The following is a 22,482-nucleotide window of genomic DNA, read 5'->3' as shown; positions in this document are numbered from 1 at the left end:
ACTTGGGAGGCTGAAGTGGGAGGATTTCTTGAGCCTAGGAGTTCAAGATTGCAGTGAATTATGATCAAGCCACTGCACTCCAGCCTTGGTAAGAGAGAGAGACCTTGTCTCAAAAAAAGAAAAAAAAAAAAAAGAAAGAAAAGTAAACAGAGGAAACACTTCAAGACATTGGTCTAGGCAAAGATTTTATGGCAAAGACCTCAAAAGTATAGGCAGCAAAACCAAAAATCGACAAATGGGACTATATTAGACTAAAAATCTTCTGCACAGCAAAGGAAACAATAGAGTGAAGAGACAACCTTTTGAATGGGAGGAAATACTCGTAAACTATTTATCCAAAAAGGGGCTAATATTTGGAATATACAAGGAACTCAAACAACTCAACAGTAAAAAATAAAAAACCATCTCTCCCTACCCCGAAAATCCCATTTAAAAATGGGCAAAGGACATGAACAGAAATTTCTTGAAAGAAAACATAGGAATGGTCAACAGGTATACGAAAAATGCTCAACATCATAAAAAATTTGCTAATCAGGGAAATGCAAATCAATACAATGAGGTATTATCTTATCTCATTTAGAATGGCTACCATCAAAAAGACAAAAAGACCCCATCTCTACAAAAAAAAAAAAAAATAGCTGGATGTAGTGGTGCACACCTGTAGTTTAAGCTACTCGAGAGGCTTAGGTGGGAGGATCGCTTGAGCCCAGATTGACACTAGAGTGAGCTGTGATCATGCCACTGCACCCCAGCCTGGCAATAGAGCAGGACCCTGTCTTAGACAAACAAACAAAAACAGGCCAGGCACGGTGGCCAGTGCCTGTGATCTCAACACTTTGGAAGATGGAGGCAGGTGCGATTGCTTGAGCTCCGGAGTTCGAGACCAGCCTGGGCAGCATGGTGAAACCTCGTCTCTACCAAAAATACAAAAATTAACTGGGTGTGCTGGCACATGCCTGTAGTCCCAGCTATTCAGGAGGCTGAGGCAGGAGGATCCCTAGAGCCAGGAGGTTGAGGCTGCAGTAAGCTATGATCATGCCACTGCACTCCAGCCTGGGAGACAGAGTGAGATCCCATCTCAAAAACAACAACAATAACAACAACAACAAACCCCAAAACCCCAAAAATGAACAAACAAAAAACAAACCAGATCTGATGAAGATACAGCGTAAAGGGAACTCTTATATTCTTGGGGGGAATGTAAATTAGTATGGTCACTATGGAAAACAGTATGGAGATGTCTCAAAAAAGTAAAAAATAGAACTACCATATGATCCAGCAATCTCATTAGTGGGTATTTATCCAAAGGAAGGGAAATCAATATACCAAAGGGATACTTGCATCTCCATGTTTATTGCAGCACTATTCACAGTAGCAAATATATGGAACCAACCTAAGCATTCATTGATGGATAAGTGGAAAAAGAAAATGTGGTATATATAAAAAATGGATCACTATTTGGACATAAAAATGTATGAAATCCTGTCATTTTCAGCAACGCAGATGGAACTGGAAGTCATTATGTTAAGTGAAATAAGCCAAGCACAGAGAGACTAATATTGCAAGTTCTCACTTATATGTGAGAGCTGAAATAGTTGATCTCATAGAGGTAAAGAGTAGAATGATAGTTACCAGAGGCTGGGAAGGGTGCGTGGGATAGAGAAAGTTGGTTAATAGGTACAAACATATAGTTGGATAGAAAGTGTAAGTTATAGGCTGGGCATAGTGTCTCATGCCTGTAATCTCAGCACTTTGGGAGGCCAAGGAGGGCAGATCACTTGAGGCCAGGAGTTCAAGACCAGCCTGGCCAACATGGCAAAACCCTGTCTCTACTGAAATTACAAAAAAAATTAGCTGGGCATGGTGGGTACGTGCCTGTAGTCCCAGCTACTTGGGAGGCTGAGGTACAAGAATCGCTTGAACCCAGGAGGTGGAGGTTGCAGTGAGCCGAGATTGCACCACTGCAACCAGCCTGAGTGACAGAGTGAGACTCGGTCTCAAAAAAAAAAAAAAAAAAAAAAAAAAAAGCGGCTGGGCGCGGTGGCTCATGCTTGTAATCCTAGCACTTTGGGAGGCCAAGGTGGGCAGATTGCCCAAGCTCAGGAGTTTGAGACCAGCCTGGGCAACACAGTGAAACTCCATCTCTACTAAAATACAAAAAATTAGCTGGGTGTGGCGGCATGTGCCTGTTGTCCCAGCTACTCAGGATGCTGAGGCAGAAGAATTGCTTGAACCTGGGAGGCGGAGATTGCAGTGAGGCGAGATCATGCCACTGCACTCCAGCCTGGGTGACAGAGCGAAACTCCATCTCCAAAAAAAAAAAAAAAAAAAAAAGTTATAATATTCAATAGGAGAGTATGGTGACTATCATTAATAATGTATTGTATATATCTTTTTTTTTTGAGACGGAGTCTGGCTCTTTTGCCCAGGCTGGAGTGCAGTGGCTTGATCTCGGCTCACTGCAAGCTCCGCCTCCCCAGTTCACGCCATTCTCCTGCCTCAGCCTCCCGAGTAGCTGGGACTACAGGCGCCTGCCACCATGCCCGGCTAATTTTTTGTATTTTTAGTAGAGATGGGGTTTCACCGTGTTAGCCAGGATGGTCTTGATCTCCTGACCTTGTGATCTGCCCGCCTCGGCCTCCAAAAGTGCTGGGATTACAGGCGTGAGCCACCGTGCCTGGACAATGTATTGTATATTTCTAAGTAGGTAGAAGAGCGGACTTGAAATGTTCCCAATACATATAAATGATAAATACTCGGCCTAGTGTAGTGGCTCACACCTGTAATCCTAGCACTTTGGAAGGCCGAGGCAGGAGGATCCCTTAATGCCAGGTGTTCAAGACCTACTTCCTAAGTAGCTGGGACCACTATGCCTGACTATTTTTATTTCTGTAGAGACAGGGTATTGCTTTGTTGCCCAGGCTCAAGTGATCCTCCCATCTCAGCCTCCCAAGTATCTGGGACCACAGACATGCACCACCATGCCTGGGTAACGTTTTTTGTATTTTTTGTAGAGATGGGGTTTCACCATGTTTCCCAGGCTGGCCTTGAACTCTTGGGTTTAAGTGATCCTCCTGTCTCAGCCTCCCAGAGTGCTGGGATTACAGGCATGAGCTACTGTGCCTTGCCCTAAAAATTTTTTATTTTCTGGTTCTTGCTTTCCATGCTAGGCTCATCACAAGCTTGCAATTCCTTAACATGTACCCACCAGGCCTTGAGCCAAACCCAGTTTCTCACCATTCCTTAGAATATCCCATGCTCTTATTCCTCTGAGACTCTGCACATGCTTTTACACCTGCTCAGTATGCCCTTTCCTTGCTTGTTCTATTTGACAAGCTCTTTCTTATTCTTGAAGAAAACTGAAGGATGACTTCCTCTGGGAATCCTTCTCTGACCCCTTCAAGCAAGGTTTTTACTGGTGGCCAGTAAAAGGTTGAGTATCCCTTATCCACAAGCTGGGAACCAGAGGTGTTTTGGATTTTGGAAAATTTTTTTGAATATTTGCATTATACTTACTGGTTGAGCATCCCTAATAACTACTCTTTATGTGCGCATCATGTCTTTGTTCCAGGCTATAATAAGGGGGAAGTAAAAAGTACAATTTCATCAAGAAAGCAATAGCATCCCCAGAAATTCCATGCAGCAATTTCCACTTGCATCTTTTTTTTTTTCTTTTAGATAGGTTCTCGCTCTATTGCCCAGGCTGGAGTGCAGTGGCACAATCTTGGCTCACTGCAACCTCCGTCTCCCGGGTTCAAGCGATTCTTCTGCCTCAGCCTCCTGAGTAGCTGGGACTACAGGCACGTGCCAACATGCCCGGCCAATTTTTTGTATTTTTAGTAGAGACAGAGTTTCACCATATTAGCCAGGATGGTCTCGATCTCCTGACCTCGTGATCCGCCGACCTCGGCCTCCCAAAGTGCTGGGATTGCAGGCGTGAGCCACTGTGCCCGGCCTCTTGCATCTTCTTACTAGCACTGTGTAACATAGACTCTCCTAGTTGCAAGGAAGATTGCCAGGTTGGGTTTCTTTCAGTCACAAAAAAGAAGAAAATTGGTGTTGAGTAAATAATTCGTATTGTTTAATCTGCTTACTTTTCAGTAGATGGGTTCTAGGCCATAAGCTCAATTTTTGTCCAGGAAGTGTAAGTCACTGGAGGATTATCTCCAGAATTTTTTGGGTGATTCTGCCTTATAAAACTGTAGCTCTTTACGCTAACTACAAATATAACGCAACCTCTATTTCTGTCCGTCCATATATTAGTAGCAAGTGAGGTGTAACCCACATTTCTGTCCAGCCATATTCTTGGGGGCTTGGCTCAAGACTTTTATAGAACCACACATGAAATGTCGCCAAAGAGGAAGCAAAAAGATGCAACCCTTGCCAGTGACTTGTCAGCCACCACAAACCCAAAAGTCATGTGCCATGCTACAGTACAAACTAACCCTAGCTGTCTCATCATCAAGTGCTCTCTCACAACACAAACTAACCCTTGGTATCCCAAAAGGCAAAGAGATCAGAGAGATCAAAGGCAAAAGAGCAGAGCTCAGACCTGAGAGAGGTTTACTCACGACTCTATTTTTTCTGTTTGTTTGTTTGTTTTAGATAGGGTCTCACTGTGTTGCCCAGGCTGGAGTGCAATGTCTTGATCATGGCTCACTGTAGCCTTGATCTCCTGGGCTCAAGCGATCCTCCCACCTCAGCCTCCTGAGTAGCTGGGACCACAGGTGCACACCACCACAACCAGCTAATTTTTGTATTTTTTTTTGTAGAGATGTGTTTTACCATGTTGCCCAGGCTATCTCGAACTCCTGGGCTCAAGCAGCCTACCTGCCTCAGCCTTCCGAAGTGTTGGGATTACAGCTGTGAGCCACCATACCCATCTTCACAACTCTTTAGGCTCCATGAGAAGACAGATTCTCATCCAAAAAGGGGTTAGCAGAGCTTAGGGTCTCAGGGTCTTCAGCAGTCTCCTTCAGGTCCCTTTGTGGTAGCCACATCTGTTAAAGGACAAAATTAGAATAAATATAGTTTAAAGACTTCAATAGTCTTTATTGCTATTCTAGAGTCCAGCAACTCTTCATTTCCTAAAATAGAATAAGTGTACCAATGAGCTGAGTGGAAGAATTTGGCTTTATAGTCAGAGAAGGGCTTAAAAAAGCAGAAGCAAAGACCTGAGAGTGTATTATTAGCCCTTTCAAAGTTCTTATAATGCAAAGGCAGGGATATCAAACAACAGAAAAGTAACTGATTTGTTAGTATCAACTAACTTCAGGCTACTTCTTTTGTGTAAGAGTTAAAGCGGAGGGACTTTAGTTATGCCAATTGAAGATTGAAGCTGGTCAGTTTGGGTGATTGGCTGTTATCTCTCTTTCCTGATTTCTTGGAAAGTCAGATAACAACTTAGTGGAACAACTTAGTAGAACTTTAGCACGGGTAACTCCGTTTTCATTTTTAGTCTCGTCTGTTAAAGCCTAGTGCAGGAACTCAATCCAAAACTGTTATGCCTCCTGTAATTTTTGTTTAGTAGCATTTTGATAAATTTTGTCATATATACTTTAAAAAAAATGCCTGTCTTTGAGGAAGGATTAGATCAAAGATGCCACTTTTGTTATTGAAATGTTCCATATCCTTACTAATTTCTTGTCTTCTTGAGCTTTCAGGTTTAAAAAAAAAATTTTTTTTTAATCTGTTTTTTAGATGGAGTTGCGCTCTGTCACCCAGGCTGGAGTGCAATGGCACAATCTCGGCTCACTGCAACCTCTGCCTCTCGGGTTCAAGCGATTCTTCTGCCTCAGCCTCCCAGGTAGCTGGGACTACAGACACGCACCATCACGCCTGGCTAATTTTGTATTTTTAAGAGATGGGTTTTCCCCATATTGGCCAGGCTGGTCTCGAACTCCTGATCTCTACCGCACCTGGCGAGCTTTCAGTTTTTGAGAGATGTGTTAAAATGTCTCATAATATTTAGGGGCCGGGCGCGGTGGCTCACGCCTGTAATCCCAGCATTTTGGGAGGCCAAGGCAGGCAGATCACGAGGTCAGGAGATCGAGACCATCCTGGCTAACATGGTGAAACCCCGTCTCTACTAAAAATACAAAAAATTAGTCGGGCATGGTGGCACGTGCCTGTAGTCCCAGATACTTGGGAGGCTGAGGCAGGAGAATGGCGTGAACCCGGGAGGCGGAGCTTGCAGCGAGCCAAGATCACGCCACTGCACTCCAGCCTGGGTGACAGAGCGAGACTCCGTCTCAAAAAAAAAAAAAAAAAAAAAAATCAGGAATTTAAGAGCTGGGCGCAGTGGCTCATGTTTGTAATCCCAGCACTTTGGGAGGCCGAGGCAGGCAGACTGCTTGAGCCCAGGAGTTTGAGACCAGCCTGGACAACATGGCGAAACCCTGTCTCTAAAAAAATATATAAAAATTAGCTGGGCATGGTGGTGCACAGCTGTGGTCCCAGCTTCTCAAGTGGCTGAGGTGGGAGGATTGCTTGATCTCAGGAGGGGGAGGCTGCAGTGAGCTGAGGTCATGCCACTGCATTCAAACATGGGTGACAGAGTGAGACCCTGTTTAAAAAAAAATAAAAATAAAGATCATAGATTTGTCACATTTGCCTTACATTGTCAGTTTTTGTTTTCTATATTACAAGACCATGTTGTGAGATACATACAAGATCATGATTATTATCCCTTGGTAGAATATTTATGCAATGTTCACACAGTGCTTTTTTTCTTGAATCAGTTGGTCTGACTGTATCAGGCTCAATATTCTTTGCATAGTTTGTATTCAAATTGTGTCTCTGCCATTTAATAGATGTACGATCTTGAGAAAGATTTAATTTCTCTGTGCCTCAGTTTCCATGGCTGTAAAATGAGGTTATTAGTGATACTTGTCTCACAGGATTATCTTCAAGATTAAATAAGTTAATATGTATAAAGAAGTTATACAGCAGTACCTAGTATGTAGCAAATGCTGTAAATGTTAGCTATGTTATTGCTGTTTTATAACTGTGTATGATGGTTGGGGCATCTTTTTTAAACTTTTATTTTTATGGGTACATAGTAGATAATATTTATGGGGTACATGAGATATTTTGATACAGCCATACAATGTGTAATAATCACATTGGGATAAATGGGATATCCATCACCTCAAGCATTTATCATTTCTTTGTGTTGCAAACATTCCAATTATACTCTGTTATTTTAAAATATACAATTAAATTATTGTTGAGTGTAATCACCCTGTTGTACTAAATCTTCTTCATTCTATCAAGCTATATTTTTGTACCCATTAACTGCCCCCACTCCCCCACACCCCACACTACCCTTCCCAGCCTCTGTTAACCATCATCATTCTACTCTGTCTCTATGAGTTCAATTGTTTTATTTGAGCTCCCACAAATAAATGAGAACATGTGAAGTTTGTCTTTCTATGTCTGGCTTATTTAACTGAACATAATGTCCTCAAGTTCCACCCATGTTGTTGCAAATGACAGGTTCTAATCCTTTCTTATGGCTGAATAGTACTCCATTGTGTGTATGTACCACATTTTCTTTATCCATTTGTTTGTTGATGGACACTTAGGTTGCATCCAAATCTTGGCTATTGTGAATAGTGCTACAATAAACATGGAAGTGCAGATATGTATTTGACATACCGATTTCCCTTCTTTTGGTATATACCCAGCAGTGGGATTGCTGGATCATATGGTAGCTCTATTCTTAGTTTTTTGAGGAACCTCCAAACTGTTCTCCATAGTGGCTATACCAATTTACATTCCTACCAACAGTGCACGAGGCTTACCCCTTTCTCTACATCTTTGCAAGAATTCTTTTTTTTTTTTTTTTTTTTTTTTTGAGACAGAGTCTTGCTGAGGCTGAAGTGCAGTGGCGTGATCTTGGCTCACTGCAACCTCTGCCTCCCAGGTTCAAGTGATTCTCATGCCTCAGCCTCCCAAGTAGCTGGAATTACAGACGTGCACTACCATGCCCAGCTAATTTTTGTATTTTTAGTGGAGACGGGGTTTTACCATGTTGGCCAGGCTGGTCTCCAACTCCCGACCTCAGGTAATCCTCCACCTCGGCCTCTCAAAAGTGCTAGGATTACAGGCGTGAGCCACCGTGCCCAGCCTGCAAGAATTCTTTATTGCCCTTCTTTTGGATAAAAACCATTTTAACTAGGGTGAGATGATATCTCATTGTAGTTTGGATTTGCATTTCTGTGATGATCAGTGATGTTGAATACCTTTACATATACCTGTTTGCTGTTCGTATGTCTTCTTTTGAGAAATGTCTGTTCAGATCTTTTGCCCATTTAAAAAATCTGATTGTTAGATTTTTTTTTCCTATAGAGTTGTTTGAACTTCTTATATATTCTGGTTATTAATCCTTTGTCAGATGGATATTTTGCAAATATTTTCTCCCATTCCATGGATTGACTCTTCACTTTGTTTCATTTGCTGTGCAGAAGCTTTTTAACCGGATGTGATCCCATTTGTCCATTTTTGCTTTAGTTGCCTGTGCTTTTGGAGTATTACTCGAGCAATCTTTGCAGACCAATGGGAGAGTTTCCCCCGATGTTTTCTTGTAGTAGTTTCATAGTTTGAGGTCCTAGATCGAAATCTTTAATCCATTTTGATTAGATTTTTGCATATGGCTAGAGATAGGAGTCTAGTTTCATTCTTCTGCATGTAACTATACAGTTTTCCCAGCACTATTTGTTGAAGAGACTGTCCTTTCCCCAATGTATGTTCTTGGTACTTTTGTTGAAAATGAGAGTTTATTGTAGATTTATGGATTTGTTATTGGATTCTCTATTCTGTTCCATTGGTCTATGTTTCTGTTTTTATGCCAATACCATGTTATTTTGGTTACAATAGCTCTGTGGTATAATTTGAATCAGGTAATGTGATTCCTCCAGTTTCTTTCTTTTTTTCTTTTGAGACAAAGTCTCAGCTCTGTCACCTAGGCTGGAGTGCAGTGGTGCAATCTTGGCTCACTGCAACCTCTGCCTCCCGGGTTCAAGCCATTCTCCTGCTCAGCCTCCCGAGTAGCTGGGATTACAGGGGCATGCCATCACGCTCAGCTAGTTTTTGTATTTTTTTTTTTTAGTAGAGACAGGGTTTCACCATGTTGGCCAGGCTGATCTCAAACTCCTGACTTCAGGTGATCCACCCACCTCGGCCTCCCAAAGTGCTGGGATTACAGGCATAAGCTACTGCACCCGGCCCAGCTTTTTTTCTTTTCCTCAGGATGGCTTTGGCGATTCTGGGTCTTTGTGATTCCATAGAAAGTTTAGTATCTGAGTAGTATGGGAATTTTAAAAATACCGATTGTTGCAATTCATGAACATGGAATATCTTTCCATTTTTTTGTATCTTTAGTTTCTTACATCAATGTTTTATAACTTTCATTGTAGAGAACTTTTTTGTTTGTTTTTGAGACAGTCTTGCTCTGTCACCCAGGCTGGAGTATAGTGGCACGATCACAGCTCACTGCAGCCTTGACCTCCTGGGCTCAAGCAATCCTCCCACCTCAGCTTCCCGACTAGCTGGGACCACAGGCTTGAACCACCAAGCCCAGTTAATTTTTTTGTATTTTTTGTAGAGATAGTGTCTCACTATGTTGCCCAGGCTGGTCTCGAACTCCTGGACTCAAGCAATCCTTTTGTCTTGGCCTCCCAAAGTATTGGGATTACAGGCGTGAACCACTGTGCCTGGCCTTTTAGAGCTCTTTTAATTCATTGGCTAACTTAATTTCTAGGTATTTAATTTTATTTGGAGCTACTATAAATTGGATTACTTTTTGGTTTCTTTTTCAGATTGTTCACTGTTGGCATATAGAAATGCTACTGATTTTTGTATGTTGATTTTGTATGCTGTAACTTTTCTGAATTTATCAGTTCTAATAGTTTTTTTAGTGTAGTCTTAGGTTTTTCCAAATACAAGATCATAATCATCTGCAGACAAGAATAATTTGGCTTCTTCCTTTCCAATTTGGATGCCCTTTATTTCTTTCTCTTGTCTGATTGCTCTAGCTAGGGTGTCCAGTACTATGTTAAATAACAGTGGTAAAAGTGGGGATCCTTTTTGTGTTCCATATCCCAGAGGAAAGGCTTTCAGTTTTTCTTCATTAAGTATGATACTAGCTTTGGGTCTGTCATATATGGCTTTTTGAGCTATGTTCCTTCTATACCTAGTTTTTTGAGGGTTTTTATTATGAAGAGATGTTGAATTTTATCAAATGCTTTTTCAGCATTAATTGAAATGATCATATGGTTTTTGTCCCTCATTCTGTTGATATAATGTATCACATTGATTGATTTACGTATGTTGAACTATCCTTACATCCCAGGGATAAATCCCGGTTGGTCAGGATGAATGATCTTTTCATGGGTTTTGCCATTTTGTTAAAATCTTAGTGTGACAGTTTTCAGATGATGGAAAAATAAGAAGAGTGACTTTCAGCTGGAGAGTCCTTATTAAAACACAGATGTCTTCTGTAAATAGAGTTGGAAAAATACTACCAGTGAGCTCTTTGTTTATAAATGTTTCTTTTAACTTATCCATGCAGGATCTGAAATGGAAAGCTACTTCTCTTTCATCAGTCAAGAGGTACATTACAACAGAATCCTTGATGCACTGAGAAGAGAGCTGGGTTCCAAATCTCACTCAGTGATCTAGGAGAGGAGAGGCAGCCAGTGTTCTGCCTGCCTTAGTTTTTCCGATCAGGGTTCCTGTGGCTCTTTGTGTTTTGGCCCGGCCTCCCCCTCAACAGCCTTCCCTCTTCTGCCTGGCCTCTCTGAAACACTGTTTGAATTCTAAGATAAGCTGTGATGTCTGACCTGTATTAATAGCTATGATAAACTTGTGGAGCTATTGTCATTTCAAGGAGTTTTTGGATATTGAAGAGTTTAAGTAAGTTGTCATGTTTTCTTTTGGAATTCCCATTTGGTTGAGTATAGCATACTGAAATGATACTCCTGAAGTCCGTAGGATGATGACATTTTTGCATAGTAAAGTCCCTGTTGTGCAAGATATGAAATGAAATTTTTTTAACGAGAAAGATCTTTGTGACTTCATGATTTTTCTACTGCCTCATTCATAATTCCTAAGCAGGAAACACACATATCTCAGTTTAGCTTCTTTGAATCACACAAAATGTTTTGTCTGGTGGTCTTATTTTGCTACCAATGAGACCACATTTACAGGGTGAAAACAATCTTTCTCAAGTAAAGTGTTATGGTTTATGAAACCTGTGGAGTGTGCATTGAAATGATAAATAATATTTACACATGCACAATAGATTGAGTTCTATAGAGGGCGAATACTTTTAGAAGTAGACTTTCCTCTGTGCATATGGGTAATAGTGTGAGTGGTGTGGCCCATGTTTGTTGTATTTAACTTGAGTGTGTTTAAATGATTATAAGGTGCTTTGGGTAGAGTTACTACAATATTAGCTCTAAAAGGTTCACGGACTTCTTTCTATATTTAGCATGAAATTTTTTTTTTTTATAGATTTTTTTTTTTTTTTCGCGAGACGGAATCTCGCTCTGTCACCCAGGCTGGAGTGCAGTGGCACAATCTCCACTCACTGCGGGCCCCGCCTCCCAGGCTCATGCCATTCTCCTGGCTCAGCCTCCCGAGTAGCTGGGACTACAGGTGCCCGCCACCACGCCCAGCTAATTTTTTGTGTTTTTAGTAGAGACGGGATTTCACCATGTTAGCCAGGCTGGTCTCGATTTTGTGACCTCGTGATCTGTCCCCCTTGGTCTCCCAAAGTCCTGGGATTACAGGCGTGAGCCACTGTGCCCGGCCTATGGATTTTTATGGTACTTGGGGGAGACTTTGAGTATGTGGGTTTAGCATCTTATAAAGACAGTTTCATTAAGTGTTACATAAGGCTCATGCATATATCTTCGTTTTGCACACTTAGAATGCCACAGAAGGGACTCTTTTCTGTTGGTGTCTTAAGACTCACCAAGGTCAGCCATGAGGAATCAGCTTAAAAATTTTCCCTCATTTTTTTTTTCTAAGGTATTAAAAACAGGCCAGGCACGGTGGCTGGGAGGCCAAGGCTGGTGGATCACAAGGTCAGGAGTTCGAGACCAGCCTGGCCAACATGGTGAAACCCCGTCTCTACTAAAAATACAAAAATTAGCTGGGCGCGGTGGCAGGCGCTTGTAATCGCAGCTACTCGGGAGGCTTAGGCAGGAGAATTGCTTGAACCCGGAAGGTGGAGGTTTCAGTGAGCCGAGATCACGCCACTGCACTCTAGCCTGGGTGACAGAGCAAGACTCTGTCTCAAAACAAAAACAACAACAACAACAACAAAAAACCAGACATGATTGGCTGGGCATGGTGGCTCACACCTGTAATCCCAGCATTTTGGGAGGCCGAGGCAGGCAGATCACCTGAGGTCAAGAGTTTGAGACCAGCCTGGCCAACATGGTGAAAACCTGTCTCTACTAAAAATACAAAAATTAGCCGGGTGTGTTGGCACATGCCTGTAATCCCAGCTACTCAGGAGGCTGAGGCAGGAGAATCACTTGAACCTGGGAGGTGGAGGTTGCAGTGAGCCGAGATTGTGCCACTACACTCCAGTCTGGGTGACACAGTGAGACCCTGTCTCAAACAAAAACAACAACAGCAACAAACCAGACATGATTTCTTTTATTTATTTCTTCATTTTTTTCTTTATTTCTTCTAAAAAAAAGAAAACATGGGATACATGTGCAGAACATGCAGGTTTGTGCCATGGTGGTTTGCTGCACCTGTTGACTAAGTTCTAAGTTCCCTTCCTTCACCCCCCACCCGCTAACAGGCCCTGGTGCGTGTTGTTTCCCTCTCTGTGTCCATGTGTTCTCAATGTTCAAAACATGCAGTGTTGGTTTTCTGTTCCTGTGTTAATTTGCTGAGGATGATGGCTTCCAGCTTCATTTATGTCCCTGCAAAGGACATGACCTCATTCCTTTTTATGACTGCATAGTATTCCATGGTGTATATCAGACATGTTTTCTTGAGATGTTAGTAACAGTGTTTTTCTGGCCAACTCAATGTGAAATAATACTGTTCTTGGGTAGAATAATTCATCTTCATTCATGGAAGTGATACTTTAATGTAATTAGATGTATATTTTATCTAAAGTGGCACAAAAATATCTTGGCATATTGTACATTTGGAGATGTTGACCTCACATATAACTATTGCCCTTGACCCTCTTTTCTTGTTCTATTTAATATTCTAGGTACGACACCGAGCTTCTGGTCAGGTGATGGCTCTTAAGATGAACACATTGAGCAGTAACCGGGCAAACATGCTGAAAGAAGTACAGCTCATGAATAGACTCTCCCATCCCAACATCCTTAGGTAATGGCTTTTCCTTCCTTCTGATCAATGAGAAAACTGAAACATTGGAGGCTTGCTAGAATAGCACTAATAGGAAAAAAAGGAGGGATTCAGGATTTATCATGCTGAATCTATCTTGCTGGGGTTTAGTGGTACTCTAGGTCGTTTTCTACCCATTGAGACTTAATTTATTGGTAATTAACTGCATTTAATAAAGCAACTTCCTTTATCTCTTAAGTTGCTTTACTCTCATTAGAACATTAGTAGCAGCTCATTAGAACAATTGTTTTCTATTGCTGACTGGTAATTTATCAAAGAGGAGAGATTGGTCTTTATGTGGTTATTTACTTTTCCTGATTACTTTTTGGGAAATTGTAATTAAATCAATGAGTGGCAATAAATGTAAAATTACACCCTCAAGTTATCTATCCTTAACTTTTAGCACTCACTTGAGGAGACACATTTTGCCTTTGAGAATTGTTATTTTTTTGAGATAGGGTCTCACTCTGTCACCCAGGCTGGAGTATAGTGGCATGATCATGGTTCACTGCAGCCTTGACCTCCAGGGCCCAGTTGAGCTTCCCCACCTCAGACTCCTGAGCAGCTGGAACTACAGGCGCACCACCACATCCAGCTAATTTTCACATTTTTCGTAAAGTCAGAGTTCCACCATTTGCCCAGGCTGGTCTCAAGTTCCTGGGCTCAAGCAATTCACCCTCCTTGGCCTCCCAAAGTGGACAATTATTTTTATAAGTTTATGTAATTGTCACTTTTTAATAATCCGTATCTGAATCTTTCTTGCTTTAATTATTTTGATATTTTAGTCAGGCAAGTATATTTTCTTTTTAAAAAAAATTTGGCTGGGCGCGATGGCTCACGCCTGTAATCCCAGCACTTTGGGAGGCCGAGGCAGGCGGATCATGAGGTCAGGAGATTGAGACCATCCTGGCTAACATGGTGAAACCCCATCTCTACTAAAAATACAAAAAAACAGTTAGCCGGGCGTGGTGGCACGTGCCTATAGTCCCAGCCACTTGGGAGGCTGAGGCAGGAGAATTGCTTGAACCCGGGAAGTGGAGGTTCCCCCTGGGAACCTAGTGCAGTGAGCTGAGATTGCACTACTGCACTCCAGCCAGGGTGACAGAGCAAGACTCCGTCTCAAAAAAAAAAAAAAAAAAAAATTTTATTTGGCCAGGCATGATGGCTCATGCCTGTAATCTCAGTACTTTGGGAGGCCAAGGTGGGTGGATCTCTTGAGCCTAGGAGTTTAAGACCAGCCTGGGCAACATGGTGAAACCCCATCTCTACAAACAACAACAACAACAAACAACAAAAAAAAATTAGCCAGGTATAATGGCATGTGCCTGTAGTTTCAGCTACTCGGGAGGCTGAGGTGGGAGGATCTCTTGAGCCAATAGTTCACAGCTACAGTGAGCCATGATTGCAGCACTGCACTCCAGCCTGAGTGACAGAGTGAGACCCTATATTAAAAACAAAAATGATTTTGTTAAAAAAAATTTTTCTTAAATGAGATAAGGTCTCACTGTGTTGTTCAGGCTGGGATTACAGGTGTGATCCACCACACCTGGCCAGTATATTTTTAAATGAGACCAAATAAGACAATTTAATTCAATGTATATTTAGTTAGGGTTTATGTGCAGGATGCTTTGTAAAGTTTAAAGTACTATTTACTTAGGGTCATTTATTGCTATTTTTTGTATGTTTATATTAGGCTAGAGAGAACTCATATGGCTTAAGTATGACTTACATGTTTGGTCAATGGTATTAAATTATGGAATTAAATTATACTGCTTACTTGAAACTTTTTATCCTTATATAGAATTATTGGCTTCCTAGTCTACTACAAAAATATTCAGCCAGTATTTTTATTGTGGTGACTTTCTTTCAAATTTATAAGTCAAATTAACACTTTTTTTTTGAGACGGAGTTTCACTCTTGTCGCCCAGGCTGGAGTGCAATGGCTCGATCTCAGCTCTCTGCAACCTCCACCTCCTGGGTTCAAGTGATTCTCCTGCCTCAGCCTCCCAAGTAGCTGGGATTACAGACACTCGCCATCACACCCGGCTAATTTTTGTATTTTTAGTAGAGACGGGGTTTTACCACGTTGGCCAGGCTTGTCTTGAACTCCTGACCTCAGGTAATCCACCTGCTTCGGCCTCCCAAAGTGCTGGGATTACAGGTGTGAGCCACCGCACCTGGCCAGATTAACACATTTTTTGAGCATCTACTATATGCCTGGTGATATATTCAGACATCAGAAAGATATCAAGATATATATAAAATAGAGTGTCTGCTAGCAAGGAATTTATACTTTACTTGCTCTACTTACATTGATGGAAAGAGAACTAATAAATTAACTAAGACACCACCATTTGAGTAGAATAAACTCTTAAGTGCCTTAGGAGTTCAAATGAGTGAGGGGTCATATTAACTTTGAAGAGTCAGGGAAGTCTGGGCGTGACGGCTCACGCCTGTAATCCCAGCACTTTGGGAGGCTGAGGCAGGCAGATCACAAGGTCAAGAGTTCGAGACCATCCTGGCCAACATGGTGAAACCCCGTCTCTACTAAAAATACAAAAATTAGCTGGGTGTGGTGGCATGCACCTGTAGTCCCAGCTACTCGGGAGGCTGAGGCAGGAGAAGCTCTTGAACCTGGGAGGCAGTGGTTTCAGTGAGCTGAGATTGCGCCACTGTATTCCAGCCTGGCAACAGAGCAAGACTCTGTCTCAAAAAAAAAAAAAAAGGGTCAGGGAAGCCTTCTAGGAGGGGACTTGAACCGGACTTTGAATTTTTTTTTAAATTACTTTTAATTTTTGTGATTACATAGTAAGTATATCTGCTTATGGGTTACATAAAATATTTTGATGCAGGCATGTCGTGCATAATAATGAACCTTGATTTTTAAAAGGATTTTAGAAGATAGGGGAGGAACTCAGAGCAAATAGTGATATAGAAAGCACAGATATAAAAATGCAAAGCTTTTTGAGGAGTCAGTGAATAAAATCCTATTTGGCTAATAATGACAATAATAATAATGACCATTTATTGAAGGCATGTTGTATACTGGGTGTGTTACTTATTTAAAGATTTCATCTTCACACTCACTCTCCATTGAGGCCAAGAGATTATGTATGGGCCAAAGTCTCCTCTAAGGCCTATGTTCTTTCTACCAGGCTTCTCTTAGAAGAACTGAGGATTTGATAGGATAGTATTGGTAGATAAAGGTGGAAAAGTAGAATTGGGTCAAATTATCCAGAAATGCTTTGCATAAATCCAAAGGATTGTAGTTTATGATCTGTGATTGGATTCTGAGCAGAAACTAGAATGATAAGGTAATTGATGACAAGATGCAGAATGGTTTAGTGTTAGAGAGACTGGTAGCAAAGAGATCAGTTAGGGGGCTTCCACCATGTTTGAGAGTGAGGTAGATGAGGCTTTGATATTCTGCTTAGGAATTTTTAAGATGATCATATTTTAAGTAATATCTAGCTTAAGAAGTAATATTTTAATTTTTTTATTATTACAGAAGTGATACATAATTGCAATGCAAACATTTAGAAAATAGAATTAGTAAGAAAAAGAAAATAAAACTTGCCCTTAATCTCAGCATGTAGGGCTAAAACTAGTATTAGCATTTTGGCATCTTTCCTGCTAATCTTTTTATTTTATCATTCCTTTTCTTACTCTCTTCACTGTGAACTGAACTAGCAAATGCATGGAAAGTTGACTTTAAATAAATTTTATTCCATTACAGCAAAATCTTTAGATATACTTGTTATATAATAAAATGGTATAGTATAACCTGAAACTGTAAAACTACTAAAAGAAAATGTATGCTGGGTACGGTGGCTCACGCCTGTAATCCCAGCACTTTAGGAGGCCGAGGTGGGCGGATCACGAGGTCAGGAGATCGAGACCATCCTGGCTAATACTGTGAAACCCCGTCTCTACTAAAAATATAAAAAATTAGCCAGGTGTGGTGGTGGGTGCCTGTAGTCCCAGCCACTCGGGAGGCTGAGACAGGAGAATGGCGTGAACCCTGGAGGCAGAGCTTGCAGTGAGCCGAGATCGCGCCACCGCACTCCAGCCCAGGCGACAGAGCGAGACTCTGTCTCAAAAAAAAAAAGAAAACATAATAGAAAAATCTCCATGAGATTGGGTAGACAATTTTTTGGATGTGCACAAGCAACAAAAGCAAAAATAGACAAATGAGATTGCATCAAACTAAAAGCTTGGAAGGCCGAGGCAGGTGGATCACCTGAGTCGGGAGTTCGAGACCAGCCTGACTAACATGGAGAAACCCTGTCTCTACTAAAAAATATAAAATTAGCCGGGTGTGGTGGTGCATGCCTGTAACCCCAGCTACTCAGGGGGCTGAGGCAGGAGAATCACTTGAACCTGGGAGGCAGAGGTTGCAGTGAGCTGAGATTGCACCATTGCGTTCCAGCCTGGGCAACAAGAGCGAAACTGTCTCAAAAAACAACAAAAAAGAAGGAAATACTGTCATTTGGGACAACTTGGATGAACCTGGAGGATGTTACACTAAATGAAATAAGCCAGACACAGAAAGACAAATAACTCATGATCTCATTTATGTATGAACTCTAAAAAAGTCGATCTCATAGAAGTAGAGAGAAGAGGCTGGGTGCAGTGGCTCATGCCTGTAATCCCAGCACTTTGGGAGGCTGAGGTGGGTGGATCACGAGGTCAAGAGATCGAGACCATCCTGGCTAACACGGTGAAACCCCATCTCTACTAAAAATACAAAAAATCAGCCGGGTGTGGTGGCACACACCTGTAGTCCCAGTTACTCAGGAGGCTGAGGCAGGAGAATCACTTGAACCCGAGAGGCGGAGGTTGCAGTGAGCCGAGATCGCACCACTGCGCTCCAGCCTGGGTGACAGAGCAAGACTCTGTCTCAAAAAAAAAAAAAATGTGGAGAGAAGAATGGTGGTTACCAGAGGATGGGGTGAGTGGATGGGATGGGGGAGGAAATAGGGGGAAGTTGGTCAGAGACACAAAGTTTCAGTTACATAGGAGGAATACATTTCTGAAATCTGTTGTGCAGTATGGTGACTATAGTTAATAATAATGTATATTTCCAAAAACAGAAAATAGAACTGCTATATGATCCAGGAATAGGAGTAAATTTTAAATATGTCACCACAAAAAATGATGTGAGGTAGTAGATATGTTAATTAGCTTGATTTAATCATTCTACACTGTATACATTTATGTTTGATCTATTTTAAAAAGTAGTACTATAGTATGATTAAAAATGAAGGCTTTAGGTTGGGTGTGCCCACACCTGTAATCCCAGCACTTTGGGAAGCCGAGGCAGACAGATTCCTTGAGCTCACAAGTTCAAGACCAGCCTGGGCAAGATGGTGAAACCATGTTTTCTTTTGTATTTTTTGTAGAGAAAACATGGTTTTTGTAGAGAAAACCTTGTTTTCTCTACAAAAAATACAAAAATTAACTGGGCATGGTGGTGTGCGCCTGTAGCCCTAGCGACTTTAGAGGCTGAGGTGGGAGGATGGCTTGAGCCTAGGAGGCAGAACTTGTAGTGAGCTGAGATCATACCACTTCACTCCAGCCTGGGTGATACAGCCAGAGCTTGTCTCAAAAAAAAAAAAAAAAAAAAAAAAAAAAGGCTCTAGATTAGAGGTGTCCAATCTTTTGGCTTCCCTGGGCCATATTGGAAGAAGAATTATCTGGGGTCACATATAAAATACACTAACACTAACAATAGCTGATGAGCTAAAACAAACAATTGCAAAAAAAAAATCTCATAGTGTTTTAAGAAAGTTTATGAATTTGTGTTGTGCCACATTGAAAGCCATTCTGGGCTACATGTGGCCCATGGGCTGTGGGTTGGACAAGCTTGCTCTAGATTCTAGATCAAACTGCCTGGATTCAAATCCTGGATCTTAGGAAAGTTTAGTTAACCTCTCTAAGCCTTAGTTTTCCCATCTATAAAATGAGGGTAATGACAGTAAATATTTTACGGAGTTGTTATTGAAGATTAATTAAATTAGTACACGTAAATCACTTAGAATAGTACCTGGTATGTGGTAAGTGCTCAGTAAATGTTAGCTATTATTATTAGTTTCTTTTCCTCTGGCTGCTTCTTTCAGTGGCCTATTATAGCCTTTGTTGTTGTTGTTGTTGTTGTTATTTAGTTTTTATTTCGTAATCATAAACTTAACTCTGCAATCCAGCTATGCATGGAAGGGAACAAGGAAAACATGGAACCCAAAGGGAACTGCAGCGAAAGCACAAAGATTATGGGATATTGCGAGCAAATGGGGTGGAGGAGTGCTCTCCTGAGCCACAGAAGGAATGGTCTGGTGGTTAAAATAAAACACAAGTCAAATTTATTAGAGTTGTCCACAGTCAGCAATGGTGATCTCCTTGCTGGTCTTGCCATTCCCAGACCCAAAGTGCCCCATGGCCTCCACAATATTCATGCCTTCTTTCACCTTGCCAAAGACCACATGCTTGCCATCCAACCGGACACATAAACCCTGGAATAATTCTGTGAAAGCAGGAACCCTTATAACCAAATCCTTTCTCTCCAGTGGTCAGAGCACAAAAGTTTTCTGTTGTCTTTGGAAACTTGTCTGCAAACAGCTCGAAGGAGACGTGGCCCAAGGGCTCGCTGTTTGACTGTGATGTTGAAGAACATGGTGGGGTTGACCATGGCTGATAGTACGGGGCTCCTGGCGGTGGCAGCAGTGTCCACAAAGCACCTATCTTTTTTTTATTCATTTACTCACTAAACACTTGTTGAGTGCCTACTGTTGCTTTTAATAGATTCAACGGTTTTCTACTAAAGCATTGCTGTCCAATAGAACCTTCTGCAGTGATGGAAATGTTCTATATTTCTGCTGTCCAGTAGCCACATGTGGCTAATAAGCACAGAAATATTGCTAATGCAAACAAGAAATTAAAATTTTATTTGGATTGCTTTAAATTTAAATTGCCACATGAAGCTAGTGCCTACTGTATTTGATAATGCTGGGCTACCTACATCTTTGCCTTTGCTTTGCTACGGGTATATGTATTCCAGCCTAGAAACATGTAGGGTTGTGATGAGACCAACATTACCATTCCTATTCCATATCTCCTTGATGTACTTTCTTAGCTTATCTCCTTTTGATCCTATTGCTTAGGAATGATCCCCACCTCCACCCTCATCCCCCTTAACTTAAAAAAGTAATGTTCTTTGCTCTCAGCCAAGTTTTCTAATGTATGAAAGGTAGCATTCAGTCTATCTAAATCTTCCCAATAAGCCCACAAATGAGATGATATATATAAAGCCTCTGGCACAGGAACTGTCACACTGCAAGTATAATACATGAGAATGTAATTATTGTTAGCCACGTGGGTTTGCCCTCTGATGGTGACCATTTTTGTTCTGCATAAGCCATCTGTCTCAAAGATACTGTGGTTTAAAAGCCTGAAATGGATTACTTTTTAAAAGAAGCTTCTAATTATTTATATCATTTATGTTTTTATGTCTTCACTTTCACTATATATTTTGAAGACAACAAAAGGAAATTATTCTAACCAGTGGCCTAGAGCAAACAAAGTCCTTTTGGCTTTTGTTACCCAGACGAGTATTAATGTAATGGAAACATTTATTATACTTCCCTGTGACTCCTTAAATGCCAAACTAAGCATGACTATGTTTTATTCTCAAGGTTCTTAGAATTTGTATTTTCTAAATGCTTTCTGGTTGTCTTAGCAATTTGCTGTTAATACTTAGGATTTAAATTTTTTGGTTACTATTTGTTAGTATGGCTCTTAGTCTATTTTCAAGCTGTAAACATTATAAGCTTTCTTTTATAGGTGCAGAAGTATGAACCAGAATTTTTCCCCAAATTGAGATTAGATCTACATTGGGAAGAATCCATCTCTTGGAACCCTAGGATTACACAGATGTGCCTTCTCAGGTGCTGGCCCCGGGTATGGGAGGTGGCTGAGTAGATGAGACTTCTGTTCTCTTGGCTTCATCTAGTCAGAACAGTTGCACTTTTTATCTTTTTTATATTGAACTTCTGTATAAGAGTTTTGAAGAAAAGGTCTCTTGCTTAAAAGAAAGAGAGAGAGAGAGAAATGAAGGAAAGAAAGAAAGAAAGAAAAAGAAAAAGAATGAGTTGAAAATTCTTCTGTTAGTGCTTTGGAAAGGCTACTTGGGAAAGAAGCCTATCTGCATGATCTGCCAGGTGGTAGGCATTTAATCCTCTGGGCATACCTTGGTTCTCTTCTGCCAGAGCTATTGTGTGCCCAGCAGGAGTGAGTGAGCTGAACCTTTGTAGTTCTCTTTTTCTTGACCCCAACCTCCTAGTTTCCCTTTTTCCCTTTATCTCCCTTCCTCCTAAGATTTCTATTTGGGAGGAAAAGTGTGGGCCTGGTAAGTCATAGAGGTAGTACTTGTGTAAATTTTGTTCATGTGTGTGTATTCTGTTTATACATGGGCCCAGTGAAGATTGGTTATTTTATCATCAGTTGCTCAAAGTTATCAGTTAAAAAAAGGAACAATAAAGTACTTTGTTGAATGCAGGGACTGATTGTTTAGGTCTCTTGTGAATAAGGTTGTTTACGCCAGGAAGTCTTATGCTCAAGATCTGTAACCCAGTTCTATGCCCCACTCACTTCCACTCCCCAGTGGCCTTTTTGAGGAACTATACACTCAGATTTGTTCTCATACCTCCCCACGACCCCAAGACAGGGCCTCACTCTGTTGCCCAGGCTCACTGCAATCTCTGCCTTCTGGGCTCAAGCAATCCTCCCACCTCAGCCTCCTGAGTAGCTGGGACTGCAGGCGTATGCCGCCACACTTGGCTAACTTTGAAAATTTTTTTGTAGAGAAAGTTCTCACTATATTGCCCAGGCTGGTCTCGAACTCCTGAGCTCAAGCAATCCTCCCACCTCGGCCTCCCAAAATGCTGGGATTATAGGCTTGAGCCACTGCACTGGGTCTCTCTGTTATTTATGCCATGAGAAATTTAATATTTCTTTTAGACTCCTTCAATTCACCAAATATGCCTTCAATTCACCAAATATGAAATTGAAGACTATGCCTTCAATTCACAAATATTTGCTTGG

The 22,482-nt window shown here is 41.3% G+C and overlaps 1 protein-coding gene and 1 pseudogene across 2 annotated transcripts in view; one reads left to right on the top strand and one right to left on the bottom strand.

Moving 5' to 3' along the window:
• Positions 1-22,482, top strand: part of TESK2 (testis associated actin remodelling kinase 2) — a 147,281-nt gene that overhangs the window by 56,071 nt on the left and 68,728 nt on the right. For both annotated transcript variants that reach the window (NM_001320800.2, NM_007170.3), the window contains one exon: positions 13,247-13,368. In NM_001320800.2, the coding sequence (NP_001307729.1) occupies positions 13,274-13,368 (95 nt within the window). In that variant the 5' untranslated portion in view covers positions 13,247-13,273. The remainder of the gene's footprint in view (positions 1-13,246; positions 13,369-22,482) is intronic.
• PPIAP36 (peptidylprolyl isomerase A pseudogene 36) lies at positions 19,749-20,073 on the bottom strand (annotated as a pseudogene).

Source organism: Homo sapiens, chromosome 1, assembly GCF_000001405.40.
Source record: "Homo sapiens chromosome 1, GRCh38.p14 Primary Assembly".
NCBI lineage: Eukaryota > Metazoa > Chordata > Mammalia > Primates > Hominidae > Homo > Homo sapiens.
This window is presented reverse-complemented; position numbering and strand designations above follow the sequence as displayed.